This window comes from Homo sapiens, chromosome 16, assembly GCF_000001405.40.
Source record: "Homo sapiens chromosome 16, GRCh38.p14 Primary Assembly".
In the NCBI taxonomy this organism is placed as follows: Eukaryota; Metazoa; Chordata; class Mammalia; order Primates; family Hominidae; genus Homo; species Homo sapiens.
The window spans coordinates 83,649,304-83,667,285 of NC_000016.10; the positions used below are offsets into that span (position 1 = coordinate 83,649,304).

Below are 17,982 nucleotides of genomic sequence, written 5' to 3' on the forward strand. Positions count from 1 at the left end.
TTCCTTGATTGCAAATAAATTTACAGTGCTTATTTTTGTGCTCCCTACCTTCATTGCATTTTTCAATATATTTAATACACTTTAATCACACAGTGGGAGGTGAGGAAATACGGGCCCCTCTTGTGAAGGGAAAGAGAGGGTGGTTGGGCTCAGAGCTGCTTTTTCTTTGTTACGCATGTTGTGGTTGTTTTCTAATTGGAGAGTCATGAACATGTTTATGGACCTGCAAGGAGAAATAAGTTGATGTGCAGGGAAGGAGGGCAGGAAGGGGTAAGGCACTGAGGAGTACATAGCCGGTGGGAGCCAGGGACTGGAGTTCACTTTGAGCAGCAAGGAAGATAGCCTCCTGCAGCCAGGGGAAGGAGGCAAGAAAGAGGCAAAGGGAGGGGGCCTGTGGGTTTCCAGGTTGGGGATGCTGAACACGGAGGGCACCTGCCTTCTCGCACTCTTCCCCTGTGGGTCAAGCAGCAAGGTCTGCTGCTGAGAGAGGCAGGGGTCTAGAGCCCACTTTGCAGCTTTGCTGAAGCACCCAGCCACCTGAGGACCTGATTCAAAAGGCGGGCCCAGGTTGTACCTTTCTAACCAGCTCACAGCTAAGCTGGTCCAAAGCCCACACTTTGCATAGGGAGGGGAAAATGGATGACATGCCATTTTTTCTTCATTGTCAAGTAAGCTGGAGTCTGAACACGTTCTAATTGGACAAAATGGAAAATGCGGTGTTTTAATTTTCTGAGGCCCATTGAGACAGCCCCAAGGGTGACACAGCTGCCTCCTTTCAAGCCTCTGCTCCTTTGTAGGTTGATGGAACTTGACCCTGGCTGTAAGACCAGAATCAATGTGTTGCACCTGCATCCACTTGGCACCCACAGGTATAAAATGTATTTATTGAAAAGCAGCAGGAAGTACAGAAAGCAGGAAAAAAAATACCTTTCTTCTTTTATAAAAGGGATTATCAGCTGCTAATTCAAAAATTGTAGGGTAATGAAAACTACATCAATAATTTTCATAATAATTATAGTCTTTGGTTTTACCCTTGAATGTTTTTCTGGCAACATCTGATTCAATTACCCCAGAAAATGTTACTATGCTCTTCCAGCATTTTCCTATGATGTTTGAATCTATGACCAAATAAGTGATAACTCTTGTCCTAGGGGAGCTTGTGGGCTGCCGTACACAGGCAACTGTCATGTAGGGAGACCTGACACACACATCTTAGCTGGATTAGTGGTTCTCAACCCCAGAGGGTTTTCCACACCCCGCTGGGACACCCAACAATGTCTGAACACATTTTTTATTGTCACAGCTTGGATGGTGCTACCAGCATCTAGTAGGTAAGAACTAAGGATGCTGCTCAGCATCTCCCAATGCACAGGGCAGCCCCCACCCAATGAACAATTATCCATCCCAGAATGTCATTAGTGGCGAGGTCGAAAGACTCTAAGTGAGATTAGGATTACGATTAGATTACAATTCGAAAAGAAAAAGCAGGGTGGATTCGGTGGCTAATGCCTGTTATCTTAACATTTTAGGCGGCTGAGGCTGGAGGATTGCCTAAGGCCAGGAGTTCAAGACCAGCCTGGGCAACATAGTGAGACCCTGTCTCTATAAAAATTTTAAATATATAAAATATATTTTAAAAATTTAAATATATATATAGTGTGGTGTCACATGCCTGCAGTCCCAGCTACTCTGGGGGCTGAGGCAGAAGGCTCCATTGAGCCCGGGAGGTCAAGGCTGCAGTGAGCCATCATCACGCAAGTGTATTCCAGCCTGGGCAACAAAGCAAGAGCCTGTCTCAAAAAATAATAAAATAAAAATAGTTGATCAGAACACTTCTGGTTATAAGAGACCCCTAGCTCTAAGTAGTTTAGATAACAAGGGGACTTTCTATTGGTAGGAATATTAGGTAGTGAGAGACTAGGGTACTGTAACAAAAAGTTCCCAAAAGAACAACGTGTATTTCTTTGCTCATGAAATTCCTTAAAATGATGTTCAGTGCAACAAACATCGTTTCTTTATGTATTTTATTTATCCATTTTCATTATAACAATGTGCATTTTATTGCTTATGTGCTGGGCATTCATGTAAGCATTTTATAAATTATTTAATCCATCATAATCCTGTAAGGGTAGGTATTATTATTATTAATTATTCCCATTTTGCAGATGAGAAAATGGAGACACGGAGAGGTTAAATGACCTGCCAAAAGTCACAAAGATAACAAGATGCAGCTTCCTGTGGCTTTCAACATGAATCACTTTCCTCATTGGTCTTTTATTTTCCTCTTTTTTTTTTTTTTTTTTTTTTTTTGAGATGGAATCTTGCTCTGTCACCCAGGCTGGAGTGCAGTAGCACAATCTTGGCTCACTACAACCTCTGCCTCCCAGGTTCAAGAAATTCTCCTGCCTCAGCCTCCCAAGTAGCTGGGATTACAGGCGCCCACTACCATGCCTGGCTAATTTTTGTATTTTTAGTAGAGACAGGGTTTCACCATGCTGGCCAGCTGGTCTCAGACTCCTGACCTCAGGTGATCTGCCTGCTTCAGCCTCCCAAAGTGCTGGAATTACAGGCGTGAGCCACCACACCCATCCCATAGGTCTTTTTTAATGTGACAGAGTGCCACTGGAGTGCGTCTCTCCTCACGCAGATTTTCATTATGTTACTCCACCCTGTGATGAGAGCCCAGGAGGGACAGAGAATGCTTTTTAATCCTCCTTATCTCATTGAGCCTGATTCCCAAGGGAACGATTCTCATCCATTTATTCTCCCTCTGGGACTCAGAAACTCCATCAGCCACCTCTGGAAGGAATATGCGACGTGCTCATGGGAATTACAGTCGGGCCCAAGGGGTCTATTTGAAATGGGAATCAGTGGTGCAAACACAGAGAATGGATTTAGAGCAGTTTCTTCTGACTAAGACATTTGGAATTTAAATGCAAATTAGAAGCTGTAAGTCAATTCCGTGTATGAATTTATACAAATCCCTTGTAATGAAAGCAGAAGGTTTCTCTTGTCCTTGTTTGTGCTGTGGTGTTAGCATCACGAGCCTAACCAAGTGTGTCAATCTCCCTACAGCTCTGGAGATTAGACATGTGCTTTCTCCAGTTAGAGACGGCTGTGAGTGCCATGCTGGGGGTGGGATTCTCCATGGGCTGCAGGGGTCTGTGTAGTTTCTCCATTAACTTCAGCAACACCCCATGGAAATTGGGAAGAAGGAGGGTCCTCGTGGTTTAGCCAAAGGTTTTGAAAGAGACAAGGCTCTCATTGTACCCCCTCTTTACTGGCCCCTCATGCCATTCACAAAGCAAGCCCTCATTCTCAAATATTGCCTTTCCTCACTCAGGAGCTGGAGGCTGGGCTCTGGGAAGCTGACAGGCCACGGTCTCTTGTATTTGAAAGGAGCAACCCAAGGGCTACATATGGGTTAACAAATGACTTGAATCCCCAGCGCCTGCAGCCTGGAGTCCCCATATGACCCAGCAGCTCCACTCCTAGGTGTAAACCGAAGAGAATGAAGGCATAAGTCCTCCCAAAACTTGCAGATGTGAACATTCACAGCAGCATTATTCCCCATAGCCACTAAGTGGAAACAGTTCCAGGTCCATCAACTGATAAATGGAGAAACAAAACATGGTCCATCCACATGACGGAATGCTTTCAGCCACACAAAGGACTGAAGTACTGATCCACGCTACAGTGTGGATGAACCGTGAAAACACGATGTTCAGTGAAAAAAGTCAGACAGAAATGGCCATATATTGCGCAATTCCATTTCTATGAAATGTCCAGAACAGGGAGATCTCCGGGGACAGAAAGCCAATTAGTGGTTGCCAGGGGCCGGGAGTGGGTGAAGAATGGGGAGTGGCTGCTCCTGGGGGTGGGGCTTCTGTTCGAGGTGTTAAAAAAATTCTAAAATTGATTGTGGTGGTGGTTGCACAACTCTGTGAATGTACTGGAATCCATTCATATGTACAATTTAAATTGATGAATTTTTTGGTATGTGAATCATAGCGCAATAAAACTGTTAGCAAAGAAAAAACTGCATAGCACCATGTCTAAAGACTATAGGGGATGTCACCCAAAGGGTCACCTTTTTAGGCAGAACTTGAGCTCTTGTTAAGGTTTGAAAAATCACAAGCTGTTTTTTTTTTTTCCTCCATAGCTCAGAAATCAAACCAGATTGAGGAAAATCTTTCTAGGGAAAAAAAACTCACAAAAGCTGAGAAAATTAAAATATATAGAGCTCCTAGAATCAGGAATTGTAGCTTACTTTTAATATCATCAGCACTCTAGCATAGTTCTGGTACTTAGGTGTTGAAGAGTTGACAGGAAACAGAACCCAGGAGGTAAATGAAGAATCAATCTGTTGGGAAGAGGTTTAGAAAGGAAGAAATCACTTAGGAATTCTCTTACCCTGCTTTATTTTTCTTCAAATAATCCAACAAGCTGGGTATTTGATTATTTATGTATCTATGTAGCATCTCACTCCCACATAGGGACAACACTCATGACAGAAGGGGCCTCCTATGGTTTGTCCGCTGCTGTGTCCGGCATTAAGAAAGGCGCTCAGCACGGCGTCATCAGCCATAAATATTTGTGGAATGTACAGACAGGGGATTGAAGGCTTGGATAGGGGAATATGTCCTTGGAGAGTGAAATGAACGAGTGGCTAGGAACACACACATGGGTGGGGGAATTAACATACTGACAGGGAATGAACAAATGGGTGGGGTAATGAATGCACAAATCAGAGACTTAATACATAGTATAGACAGGGATGGGCATGTGGCTAGGGGATGATGGATGGAGGATAAAAGTGTGGATAGAGGATGAATGAATCATTCCAGCAGAGACTTGTAGGCAGCCAGCATGACTGAATTTGTTCCGGTTCTTTCTATCAGGCTGGTGCAAAAGTAATTGCAGTTTTTGCAATTAAAAATGGCAAAAAATTGCAATTACTTTTGCACCAACCTGATACATCTATAAGCATGTCTGGGGGAAGGGTCCCTCCTGCACCCTCACGTGGTGGGGTTTATCTGAACATTAGGGTATAGGCCATAGTTAGGAACAGCCCCTGAATTTAACAGAGAAAGACCCTGAAGCAAGTAAGGCAGGTCAGGAGACCAGGATGGGCAGAGGTCCTGTATAGGACAATGTGCAAGAAAGGACCCAACAAGGCAGCTTTGCAAGATGTCGGGATCAGGGGCCAAGAGGAGAAGAAGCACAAGAGGTCAGACGAAGAATCCTGCAGATTGTTAGCCCCAGGATGAGGAAACAGGCCTGAGAGTCTCATCTGTTTCATCAGAGAGCAATAAAAGAAAATTAAAATATAATAATGCCAGGATGTTCCAAACAGCTCTTTATTGCTACAGAACTACCATGCCTGTACTTTCGTCTCCAGGCAAATATACTCAAAATAGTTTCCTATTGCTCCACTCACCCCATCATTCGTCCCCTTTCTGCATTAGGCCTACGGGTTAATGGATGCTGCCACCTGATCCCTGCATGATTTCCCACCAACCCTATGACTCTGGGTTCTGGAGAGGTGAAAGAGCATCTCCAGGTGGCTCAAAACTGTGGCTCCAGGTACTACTCCTCCAGGCGGGCTGCTCCCTGGGGCACGTGTTCTCAGTCCACCAGTGGGCCATGCCGCATCAGCCCACCTGCTTCCTGGCACATGGGATGCACAGCCCATGACCTTGGACCCAGCAGTAGGCAGCATGCTTTCCAGTTTTGAAGGCAAGGACGGAGGCATACAAGGCACTACTTGAGATCCTGTCTGATTTAGAATTTTGTAGGACGGATTCCTGTTGTTGAACACACTGAGTGATGAGAAACTTGGCAAATCTTGTTGGCAAATCTCTCACCTTGATTCCCTTTGGCATCCTTTGTGTCTGTCTGATCCTTCCAGCCTGGCCTTTGGATAGCAGGTACCCACTTCTTAGGATGTGCCAGACACCACGGTAAGAGTTTGATCTGCACTTGTTCATTTATTCACCAGAATCACCTATGGAGTTAGCAGTGACCCTATCCCCATTTTACAGATAAGGAAGTACCGAGGCTTACAGAGGTGAAGTTGCTTGTGTCAGGGCACCCAGCTGTTGAGTGACAAAGCCAGATCCTCTGAGGTGGGGCACTGAGCAGAGGCCCGAATGGCAAGATGGTGCCAGTACATGAAGACAAGAGTCTGTCAGAGAGAACGACACAGGTAGAGTCCTGCAGCTTGAGCAACTGTTTACAAACCCATGGCAGAGCCCATGTGAATGAGGGAGAAAAGGCAGAGATGGGCAGATCCCAGAAGGCCTGGGAACCCATGGAAAAGGCTCTGGATTTTGTAAAGTAGAAGCTGTTGCAGGGCTGCGAAGACAGAGGAATGTCAGCTCCATGAGGGCAGGAATGTGTGTCTTCTTTGTTCAGTGAAGACTCCCAAACACCCAGAATCGAGCCTGGCATGTAGCAGGTGTTCAGTGGCTTCATTGAATCAATGAATCATGTTTAAATTTGTAACAAAATGACTCTGGCTGCTACTATGCAGAGGACAGGTTGTAGAGAGAAAGTGGCAGGGGGGAAAACAGAGGAGGAGTCAAACACCCCTGTAGGAGATAATCAAATTACCTGAGCGGAGCTTCTGATGGCTCCACCAAGGTTGGTAGGGGTGGGACACAGAGAAATAGGCCTATTCAGCACATATTCTGCATGCATGCAACCATTACCACTATCTAAGGCTGGAACTTTTTCATCACCCGAGGGGAAACTTTACACCCATTAAGTGGTCATTCTCCATTCCCACCCCTCACACCCAGCCCCTGGCAACCATAAGTCTGTTTTCTGTCTGTCTGAGTTTGCCTCACAGATATTTCGTAGAAATGGAATCATATAGTTTTTAAGAGTTGTTGCTGATGGACTGGATGTGAGAAATGAGAAAAGAGAGGAATCAAAAGATGACTCCTGCATTTTCAGCCTTCACAACATGAATAAATGGTGGTGCTCTTTGCCAAGAAAAGGGAGAAGGGGGAAAGATGAGATTTGTTTTGGTGGAGTCGGGAGGTGGAAAGGCCTCTGTTTCGATCATGTTAAGTTTGAGGTGCCTGTTAGACACCCAGAAGCAGATGCTGGCTGTGACTTGGCACTTACAATCCTGGATACAGGGCAGAGTCCAGGGTTGGGGGTGTGAGTGTGTGATTCCTCAGTAGAGAGGCAGGGCATGGAAGTTCTCATCCAGGTGCTGACTGATGAAGAGCTGCCATTGCCCAAGCTGGGACCAGAACCCCTGAGCCATGTTAAGAAAAAGTCAACCAGATCCAGGCATTGTTACCCTTGAATGGTAAAGGTGATTTAGTGGAATCTTGATCAAGGCTCCTGAGCCATTTCCTGTGGGAAAGTAGACATCTTTGAATGACTGCACAGAGAATCGTGGTCTTTGCCACTCTCCCCTACAGTTTTGGCAATATCACAGCCAATTTTAGGGCACAAACACAAACCATTCCCAGTTATCCTTTGCCTGTAATAGGAATAAGACAGCATGGTGTAAGGAATTACTTGATTTTAGAAGGCATTTCATCTCTCCAAGTCAATCTTTAGGGATCGACACTGCTGGTGGCTTATGAATTTCAGATGTGGTACATTCTGGGAATGCCAGCTCTTGGGCTCCAGGAAAGGTGATTAAAGGACAGGCTGATGCCAACATTTATGGAGAATAAAACTTGCACTTCAGGTACAGTAAACTCAGGGCACTCAGTTGGGCTTCACTCTTCCATATTCTTAGGAAAGACTAAAGTCACATGAATAAGATCTCAGCCCTGCATATGTAATGGCAAAATGAATGATGTAGGCTCTTCCTTTGAGAAACTAACAGACTGTGGATCCAGCTCATTGTAAAGAAACAGCCATATGAGTGATGTAAAGGGTATTAATCCCTCAATACAGGATCATTTATCTGTAGTACCACTCCATTGCTACATTGTTCCTGAGCCAAGTGTCCTGGCCACCATGTCTCTGGGACAGTGAGTGACATTATGAGGTCAAACAAGGTGTCCCCCATAGACCGTCAAGAAGACAGGCTGCTGCTTTTCAGGGATCTCTACTCTGATCCCCTTGGGATAGCTTCTAGGTTCATGAGTAGGCAGAATCCCACTGAGTTCCTAGTTCCTCTTTGACCCCCAGAGCAGCACTTTAGACATAAAGTTCATCTATGCTCAGGATGACAGCCAACCAGTAGCTCCAAAGTGTTCCTTGACAATCATTTTCTACTTTACTGAACAGCCCACCTTCCTCTGCAGCAGACCGCTTCTTTGCTGGAGAGGCTGTGGGCTGGGGATATGGAGAACAAACTGATGAGTGAGGGATGTGTCTGCAGAATCAGTCAGTGGAAGAGATGACCTCCAGGAGACTGTGATTTCCTTGGCAAAGGTACTGCATTTGCTTGCTTAGCAATATCTGTGAACTCCTTGCCATAGAACAGCAAGAATTCGCAACATTCCCTGCCAGTGGCATCCTTCAGCACTGCCAGCCACATGTCCTCACCAGCAAGGTCCCATGTCCTCACCAGCAGGTCCCATATCCTCACCAGCAAGGTCCCATATCATCACCACCAGGTCCCATATCCTCACCAGCAAGGTCCCATGTCCCCACCACCAGGTCCCATATCCTCACCAGCAAGGTCTCATGTCCTCACCACCAGGTCCCATATCCTCACCAGCAAGGTCCCATATCCTCACCACCAGGTCCCATGTCCTCACCAGCAAGGTCCCATATCCTCACCACCAGGTGCCATGTCCTCACCAGCAAGGTCCCATATCCTCACCACCAGGTGCCATATCCTCACCAGCAAGGTCTCATGTCCTCACCACCAGGTCCCATGTCCTCACCAGCAAGGTCCCATATCCTCACCAGCAAGGTCTCATGTCCTCACCACCAGGTCCCATATCCTCACCAGCAAGGTCCCATGTCCTCACCACCAGGTCCCGTATCCTCACCAGCAAGGTCTCATGTCCTCACCACCAGGTCCCGTATCCTCACCAGCAAGGTCCCATATCCTCACCAGCAAGGTCCCATGTCCTCACCACCAGGTCCCGTATCCTCACCAGCAAGGTCTCATGTCCTCACCACCAGGTCCCGTATCCTCAGCAGCAAGGTCCCATATCCTCACCAGCAAGGTCCCATGTCCTCACCACCAGGTCCCGTATCCTCACCAGCAAGGTCCCATGTCCTCACCACCAGGTCCCGTATCCTCACCAGCAAGGTCCCATATCCTCACCACCAGGTCCCATGTCCTCACCAGCAAGGTCCCATATCCTCACCACCAGGTCCCATGTCCTCACCAGCAAGGTCTCATGTCCTCACCACCAGGTCCCATATCCTCACCAGCAAGGTCCCATATCCTCACCACCAGGTCCCATATCCTCACCAGCAAGGTCTCATGTCCTCACCACCAGGTCCCATGTCCTCACCAGCAAGGTCCCATATCCTCACCAGCAAGGTCTCATGTCCTCACCACCAGGTCCCATATCCTCACCAGCAAGGTCCCATGTCCTCACCACCAGGTCCCGTATCCTCACCAGCAAGGTCTCCTGTCCTCACCACCAGGTCCCGTATCCTCACCAGCAAGGTCCCATATCCTCACCAGCAAGGTCCCATGTCCTCACCACCAGGTCCCGTATCCTCACCAGCAAGGTCCCATGTCCTCACCACCAGGTCCCATGTCCTCACCACCAGGTCCCATATCCTCACCAGCAAGGTTCCATGTCCTCACCACCAGGTCCCATATCCTCACCAGCAAGGTCCCATGTCCTCACCACCAGGTCCCATATCCTCACCACCAGGTCCCATGTCCTCACCAGCAAGGTCCCATGTCCTCACCACCAGGTCCCATATCCTCACCAGGAAGGTCCCATATCCTCACCACCAGGTCCCATATCCTCACCAGCAAGGTCCCATGTCCTCACCACCAGGTCCCATGTCCTCACCAGCAAGGTCTCATGTCCTCACCACCAGGTCCCGTATCCTCACCAGCAAGGTCTCATGTCCTCACCACCAGGTCCCATGTCCTCACCAGCAAGGTCCCATGTCCTCACCACCAGGTCCCATGTCCTCAACACCAGGTCCCATGTCCTCACCAGCAAGGTCCCAACACAAGTTAGAATGTGCCATCAGGTTTCTTTTATCATTTGATCTTAGAACTAAAAGGGACCTCAGTGGTTACCTCAAGCTGTTGTTCTCAGCCCTTGGCTGTTCATTAGAATCACAGGGGGGTGTTTTCAGAAATACGTATGCCTGGGCCCCATCCAAGAACGATCTCTGAAAGCAGGACCCCATATCATTAGTGGGTTTGTTTTAAGGCTTTCAGGTGTTTTAATGTGTAGTCAGGGTTAAGAATGACAGCTTTAGTCTGATACCCTTTTCTCAGATAAGTGAACTGGGACTCAGAGATCTTGCAGAATTTACCAGAAAGGTACCCATGAGTTAGAGCAGCAGTCCACAACCTTTTTTTTTTTTTTTTTTTGAGATGGAGTCTCACTCTGTCGCCCAGGCTGGAGTGCAGTGGCATGATCTTGGCTCACTGCAACCTCCACCTCCCGGGTTCAAGCAATTCTCCTGTCTCAGCCTCCCAAGTAGCGGGGACTACAGGCACCCGCCACCACACCCAGCTAATTTTTGTATTTTTTGTAGAGACGGGATTTCGCCATATTAGTCAGGCTGGCCTCGAACTCCTGACCTCAGGTGATCCTCCTGCCTCGGCCTCCCAAAGTGCTGAGATTACACTCAGAAGCCACCACGCCCAGCCAATCCACAACCTTTTTGGCACCAGGAACTGGTTTTGTGGAAGACAGTTTTTCCACGGACCAGGATTGCGGGGATGGTCTTGGGAGGATTCAAGCACATTACATTTATTGTGTGTTTCATTTCTATTATTATTACATTGTAATATACAATGACATAATTATACAACTACCATAATGTAGAACCAGTGGGATCCCTGAGCTTGTTTTCCTGCAACTAGACGGTTCCATCTGGGGGTGATAGTAGACAATGATAGATCATCAAGTATTAGATTCTCATGAGGAATACACAACCTAGGTCCCTCGTGTGTGCAGTTCACTATAGGGTTTGTGCTCCTATGAGAATCTAATGCCACCACTGATCTGACAGGAGGTGGAGCTCAGGTGGTAATATGAGCAATGGGGAGCAGCCGTAAATACAGATGAAGTTTCACTGGCTCTCCCACAGCTCACCTCCTTCTGTGTGGCCCGGTTACTAACAGGCTACAGACCAGTAGTGGTGGTTGGGAACCACTGAGTTAGAGGCCAACTAGAATTTGCCCCACTTCATTGAATTCCCTACTCCTTTAAATATGCAGAATTGCATAAGCCAAACTCCAGTGTCTTTAGAAAGCAGACTATGTTATTGTTTCTTGAAAAGCCATTCTTCCTCCAGATTCAGATGTTGGTGGTCAAATGAGTATCTCTACAGAAAATCTCTCTGCTTCTCCGAATTAAACTATTTTCAATTATCTTGTCAGATGAACAAATGTGTTTTGCATTTTCTTTCATTTTTTAAAGAGAGAAACTCAAGTGAAGGAGAGCTACTAACGTCCAATGAAATAAAGTATCCAAGCCTGAAATTGAAGAAAAAAAAATGTAGGCATATTTGCTCTTTGGTTTTTATTTTTCTGTCACCATCTAATGTAATATTTATTTAATCATTCCCCTAAGGCAATGATTTTCAAACTCTCTTTAGCAGCAAAACTTTTTTTTTTTTTTCAAACAAAATCCCAGGCAGGAATTCTAATATACAAAACAGATAAAATATAATTAACAGATTCCTCAGGCAGTTTAAATTCTTATTATTTGAAGGAAAATGTTTGATGCCTTGGTAGGACTCCTGTACCATCTCAAACATTCTTGCTGGACTCAGTGGCTCACACCTATAATTGCAGCACTTTGCGGGACCAAGACAGGAGGATCACTTGAGCCCAGGCATTCGAGGCCAGCCTGAGCAGTATAGTGAAACCCTGTCTCTACACAAAATGTAAAAATTAGCTTGGCGTGGTGGCACATACACACCCAGCTACTAGGGATGCTGAGGCACAAGGATCACTTGCACTTAGGAGGTCAAGGCTGCAATGAGACGCAGTCACACCACTGCACTCCAGCCTGGGTGACAGAGCGAGACCCTGTCTCAAAAAAAAAAAAAAAAAATCTTGTTCTCAGGAACACAGTTTAAGAACCACCGTTCCACTGCATCGTTTTCCTGTCAGTCTTCAGTGGCCATGTCTTTTCATTTTGTTTTGTAGGGCAAAGACCTGCTTTGTTATGCAAGCCTCTTCTCCGTGAAAATGCATTTCATTTTTAGTTTTGCATATGTGCAGTTCTGTATTTGGTGTAGACAGGGTCATGTAGAGGAAGAGTACAGTCACTGGAAGGTGGACTGTGCCAGGTGGGCATCTTCCTCAAAAGCCATGGACTCAGCACCTTCTGTGTATCTGCAGCCAACACATGGAAATATCTCATAGGAAATGAATCAGAGAAGTGTGCCCTGAGGGGAAGAGGGAGCAATTCCTGCCAGGGCATGCAGTGAATGTTTCCCTTTCTTGCCCTTTGGTTCATTCCCCAGCACCTGTAGAGCCAGGAGGTTGAGGGATGCTTCATTTTCTCTCTCAGTGGAATGGGACCCACAGACAGCTGCTGCCTAGGAACATCATTTTCCTTTCAACCCAGGATCACCCTGGGTGGGTGGGTCACATGGGGCAGGACATCAGTGAGGGGGACATTAGTATCAGTCCAGGATCAAGAACCACACTACCTGGGATGCCAATGGGTTTTGGAGAGGACTCTTCACTCAGGACGTTTCTTTCTTGTTGAGATGCTATTCCTTATTATTTTTGAACTATTTCCACATTCGAGTTTTGCATTTTCTCACCTGTTTAGTAATGGTGGATGGCTTCAGACATTTAACTGGGAAGACTCTGGATGTTTAGTAGACCTTTCTGTCACTGTCCATTACCATAGCTAGTAGGTACTCTCTCTTTGCATGATGGAGATAACATGCAAATCCTTTTAGCAAAGCATCTGGCACAAAAGAGAAACACAAAATTGTCCGTAGAAGAAATTAATGTTAGTTGGACCAAGAAAGGACTTTGATTATGTTTTCTTAAAAAGAATCTCTGTGTTTTAGACTGAAATCTTTACAGATGCAATGGCATGTCTGGGATTTGCTCCAAACAGTGCAGAATCGGGGCGGGGTGGCTGCGGAGATGAACCACCAGGAGCAGGGAGTTGAGGATCTCTAAAGCCTGAAGACAGGCATGTGGGGGGTATTATCCTATTGTACATGCTTTTATACATGTTTAATATTTTTCATAACAAGATGTGAAAAAGAAAAAATACTTGAGAAAACATCTATGAAACCCAAAGCACCATCAAAGGGACCACTCACCTGATGAGATCAGTAGACATCTTCAGAGTTGTTTTCCCCAGGGCGCCATTATTGCAAGGAATAGAAACCTGCTCAAGGCAGCTGGAGTGAAAATGAGGTTGTTGATGGGAACAGAGGTTCCAACAGACAAGAACACAGGGAACCTCGGAGGATTGAGAGCAGGACTGGGAAACCAGTCAGCGACTGAGAGCACTTCCTATTTGTCTTTTGTCTTTGAGTCCCAGAAAAAAATCTCTTTTGTAAATTTTTCTCTCAATTTCTCCATTCTTTTGCTTCTCCATGCATATTGGATTTCTCTGATAATTTATCCTTATCCAAATGACAAAAAATGGCCACCCCTTGCACAAATGCTGGGAAACCTATATTTCTCTTAGTTCAAATTTATCAAAGAAATAATCCCATTTTTCATGAATCAACTGATGGAGTGGTTACCCCGGAGTCAGGTAATCAGCTCTGGGTCCAATCAGCTATGGCCAAGGAAGCTAGGATCACATGATACAAAATGACTCCCTAGTACCACTGTTTTCAGCAGGGACTGGGGGTAGGTTTAGGTCCCTCAAATGTTTTATGGATTATGCAGGCACCCTGAGCTATATCTACTCAAAACCGCTAAGATTTTCAGGAAAGAAATATTCTAATTTGCCATTTAGAAATTATATAATCTCTGTCATTTGGACTACAGTTGAGTCCACTTTCCTTTTTCTTAGGAGAAATAGAGAAGAACTGGTTACTATTCTCATTGGGAGACTCTCAAACACATGTACGTTGTTTTCTTTCTACCTTGTGTTTTTATTCTTGAGACAAAATAACCCGAAAAGTTAGTGTCTACTTACAGTGCTCTTACTTTATGAAAGATGTGACATTCAGCATTTTGGGGAAGCAGAGACATGACTCCGACTCTTCAGGAGCTCAACAATGGGAGAGGCATGCCCCAGGTTGTCTGTGTTTGAGAGGCAGGGAAGTCTGTGCCAAGTTCTTTCTGTTCATGGTTACTGGAATTCTCACCTCTAGCATCTGATTTCTTTCTTTCCTGTGTGAGCTACCTCCCATGGGCATTAAAAATCAAGTCTCTGACACCACTCCGCATCTTCAAAGAAAACAAATCATTTACAGAATTTTAATCAGATAAAGAGAGGAGAAGGCTGGGCACAGTGGCTCATGCCTGTAATGCCAGCAACTTGGGAGGCCAAGGCAGGAAGATCACTTGAGCCTAAGAGTTTGAGACCAGCCTGGGCAACTTAGTAGGACTCCCATCTCTACAAAAAAAAAAAAAAAATTTAAATTAGCCAGTCATGGTGGTTTAGGCCTGTGGTCCCAGCTAAGGCAGAAGGATCACTTGAGCCTAAGAAGTCAAGGCTGCAGTGAGCCGTGATCATAACACTGCATTCCAGTCTAGGCAACAGAGCAAGATCTGCTTCAAAAAAAAAAGGAGAAGAAAAAGATGCTCACCAATGACTAGGACTATGATGATCTGGTGGGTTCCTGAATATTCTTTCATCTGGCTCCTGTAGTCACTTCAGGGCCTGACTATGCCTTTTCTACTGTGACGTAGCTAGGGAAGGACTTAGTAGGTTCCAATCATCTTGAAGACTTGCCAGTGAACAGACCATAGTTCTTAGGCAAGCAACCACAGGTCCCTTGAGTGGCTCTGTTATTAATCTGTTCTGAGACATCGGGCTTTCTTAAAACATTGAATGAGCTTTATGTAGAACTCTGTACTGTATACTGTTTAAAATTTTTATGTAAATATATATCTTATGTATATTTTATATAATTAGTTTTTATTTTTATATTATATTTCATATTATATATGTGTGTATATATATATATATAGTGCACACAAACATGATGTGGAGGCTGAATGAAAATGTTCTCATACGTTTTCTTCTAAGAACTTTACTGTTTACATTTCACATTTTGTGTATGGTGTGAGGTAGGGGTCAGGATTCATTGTTTTCTGCAGATGGATATCCAATTGATCTAGCACCATTTACTGAAATGACCGTTACCTGGAAATTAAATCATGTCAAAACATAAAAGCATCCATAATTGGCCACAGGTACAGCCTTGGATGTATGACAGTGAAGGAAATGGTTTTAGAAGTGGTAGAAAGCAAATTGTCAGATATGTTGTAGATGTACAGTACCTACAAAGAAAGGGGACACCCAGAGGGAATACTAGCCCTCTCACTTACTGATGTATTTTTGTGCCTAGTGGAGTCTCCAGCATGCAACAGACACAACAAATATTTATTAAAATGAATTGTTGTATCTTTCCGCCATGAGATAAATCCTAATCATAGAAGAAAACCAGATATCTAATGCCGCTTTCCCTTCCAAATGTGGACATGATAGGATTGACATCATTTGCCTCATGTCTGTTGTTGGAGCATAACAAGAATGAGCAAGTGTGTGAGTGCCAGGCATACATAACTGAAAAAAAAAAGCTTCTTCCACACCACTCGAGGAAAATAAAATACATATATACATAACTACATTATATGGCAGACTGTGATAAGAGCAGAAAGAGTCACAGGGGTTTAAACCAAATTCTCCAATTTCTTAGTAAGAATTTCATATGATACAGGGCAAAATCCATCATCATTATCCTTGCTAACAAATACTGACTCCTTGTTATACATATGCCAGGCTATTTGCCAAGCTCCTTAAATGCATTATTTATATCAGTCACAGTTGCTACCCATTAGACTATTGGGAAGAGCCTTCCAATAAGCTGTATCTTTTATGTAAACATAGACTCAAAAATGTTTGCAAGTTATATTTCTGATGGTCTCTCCCCTACCCTTTTATCATCACAAATAGAAATTAGTGAGACCCTATAATTTTTTTAAGCTAAGGGCCAGATGACTACATCCCAGCTTTTCAAGTTCCATATTAGTTCTCTGTGAAACTTTAGGGTTAATGGCTCGTGAACTTAGTCTAGTATTCAGGTCAAACATGCAACTAGTCAAGCATGCAAGCTTGCATATGTGCAGTCCTTTAAACTTGTCCTCTGTCACTTCTTTCCCATCTGTGTCTTTCCAGCCTTCTGATCATTATTTCCATCTTCCATGTTAATCTAAAGGTCAACTTTCTGCTCTTGGAGGAAGAACATGCATTCTTGGTGTATAATAAAATTCAAGTCCCTCTTCCTACTTGTGATTGTCTTTGTGGCTCATCCAGGCAGCCTCATCCTGAATGTCTATGATGTAAGTCAAAGAAAAGAAAATAATCAGTCCTGAATTTGGAGGGAAGAGATCATAAGCCCAGTACATAGTCCCAACAGGCCACAGTGATTGTGTAAAAATACGTTTTATATCTTGTATTTGATTTGCCACACAGTTTAACAGAAAAGTAACTTTATCTATTTTTTCCAATTAAAGGTAGTAATAGTACAATCAATAATTCCTCCTGCTCTAGTGTGGTAAATTAATGTCTTTCTATTGTTTTTAAATCACAAAGTGAGCATTGCTATAGAAATGTAAAATGGTACCATTTCATTTTAATCTATTTAATTTTCCTTTCTTGAATTATATAATGGGGTTAAAACATTGAATAGAATTAATAGAATGAGTATTTAATTAAGGAATAATGAGCTTCTAAATGAATGCTCAAAGAAACTGCTTCATAGTTTATGCAGAAATCAGATAATGGGCTTAACAAATACTATAATAATTGTGTTGAATGTTTTCCATATTTAAAGATTTTTTTTTTCTGTATTCTCTCAGGAGTAGATTTAAACGTAACCCAGTTCCTTGATTAGGCTACACTTTGCTTTCATAGTAAATCCCAAATGCCTTCCCATGGCCCACAGGGCCCTGCATAAGGTGACTCTACCACCTCTGGAGTCTGATGTCATAGAGTTCTCTCTGGCTCTCCCCTTCATTCCAGCCACACCCAGCTTGCCTTTGTTCTGCAAAGCCACCTTTGGCTCTTCCCGCCACCTGGCCTTTGCTCTTCCTCTTTCAGATGCCAGGTATGTTCTCACCCCCTTCACCTCTCTAAGGCCTCCTCTTCTTTCAGTTCTCAGGGAATTTTTCCCTGATGATCCTCTCCAGACTGGATCAGATACCCACCTCCACACATACACACACACACATACACACACACACACAGACTCCCCAAGAACTGTAATTTTATTTCTTGACAATTAACACGTTGTTATACATTTCTTTCCCATCTGTCTCTCCTTTCAGCCTGTAATCTCTCTGAGGAAATATATCATGTCTGTTTTGTTTAGTGGTGTAACCCTGGATGGATGGATGGATGGATGGATGGATGGATGGATGGATGGGTGGATGGATGAATGGAAGGATGGATGGATGATGAATGGAAGGATGGATAGATGGATGATGGATGGATGGATGGATGGATGGATGGATGGATGGATGGATAAATAGATAGATGGATGGCAGGTAAATGCCGTTGTGGACCCATCCAAGGACATATGAGGGCCACAATGCACATCTCTGAGAATTCCTAGCACATCAGCCCCTTTCCATTCTACTTGAATTCATTTGCCCACACACTAAAAAGGTATTCTATACCA

General features: G+C 44.5%; 1 protein-coding gene and 1 long non-coding RNA gene across 6 annotated transcripts in view; one reads left to right on the top strand and one right to left on the bottom strand.

Moving 5' to 3' along the window:
• The window catches only part of CDH13 (cadherin 13), a 1,173,672-nt gene that overhangs the window by 1,022,335 nt on the left and 133,355 nt on the right, over positions 1 to 17,982 (top strand). The gene's annotated exons all lie outside the window — the stretch shown is intronic.
• Positions 15,989 to 17,982, bottom strand: part of LOC124900603 (uncharacterized) — a 42,544-nt gene continuing 40,550 nt past the window's right edge. Inside the window, exon 3 of the long non-coding RNA XR_001752385.3 lies at positions 15,989 to 16,635. This is a non-coding gene — a long non-coding RNA (uncharacterized LOC124900603). The remainder of the gene's footprint in view (positions 16,636 to 17,982) is intronic.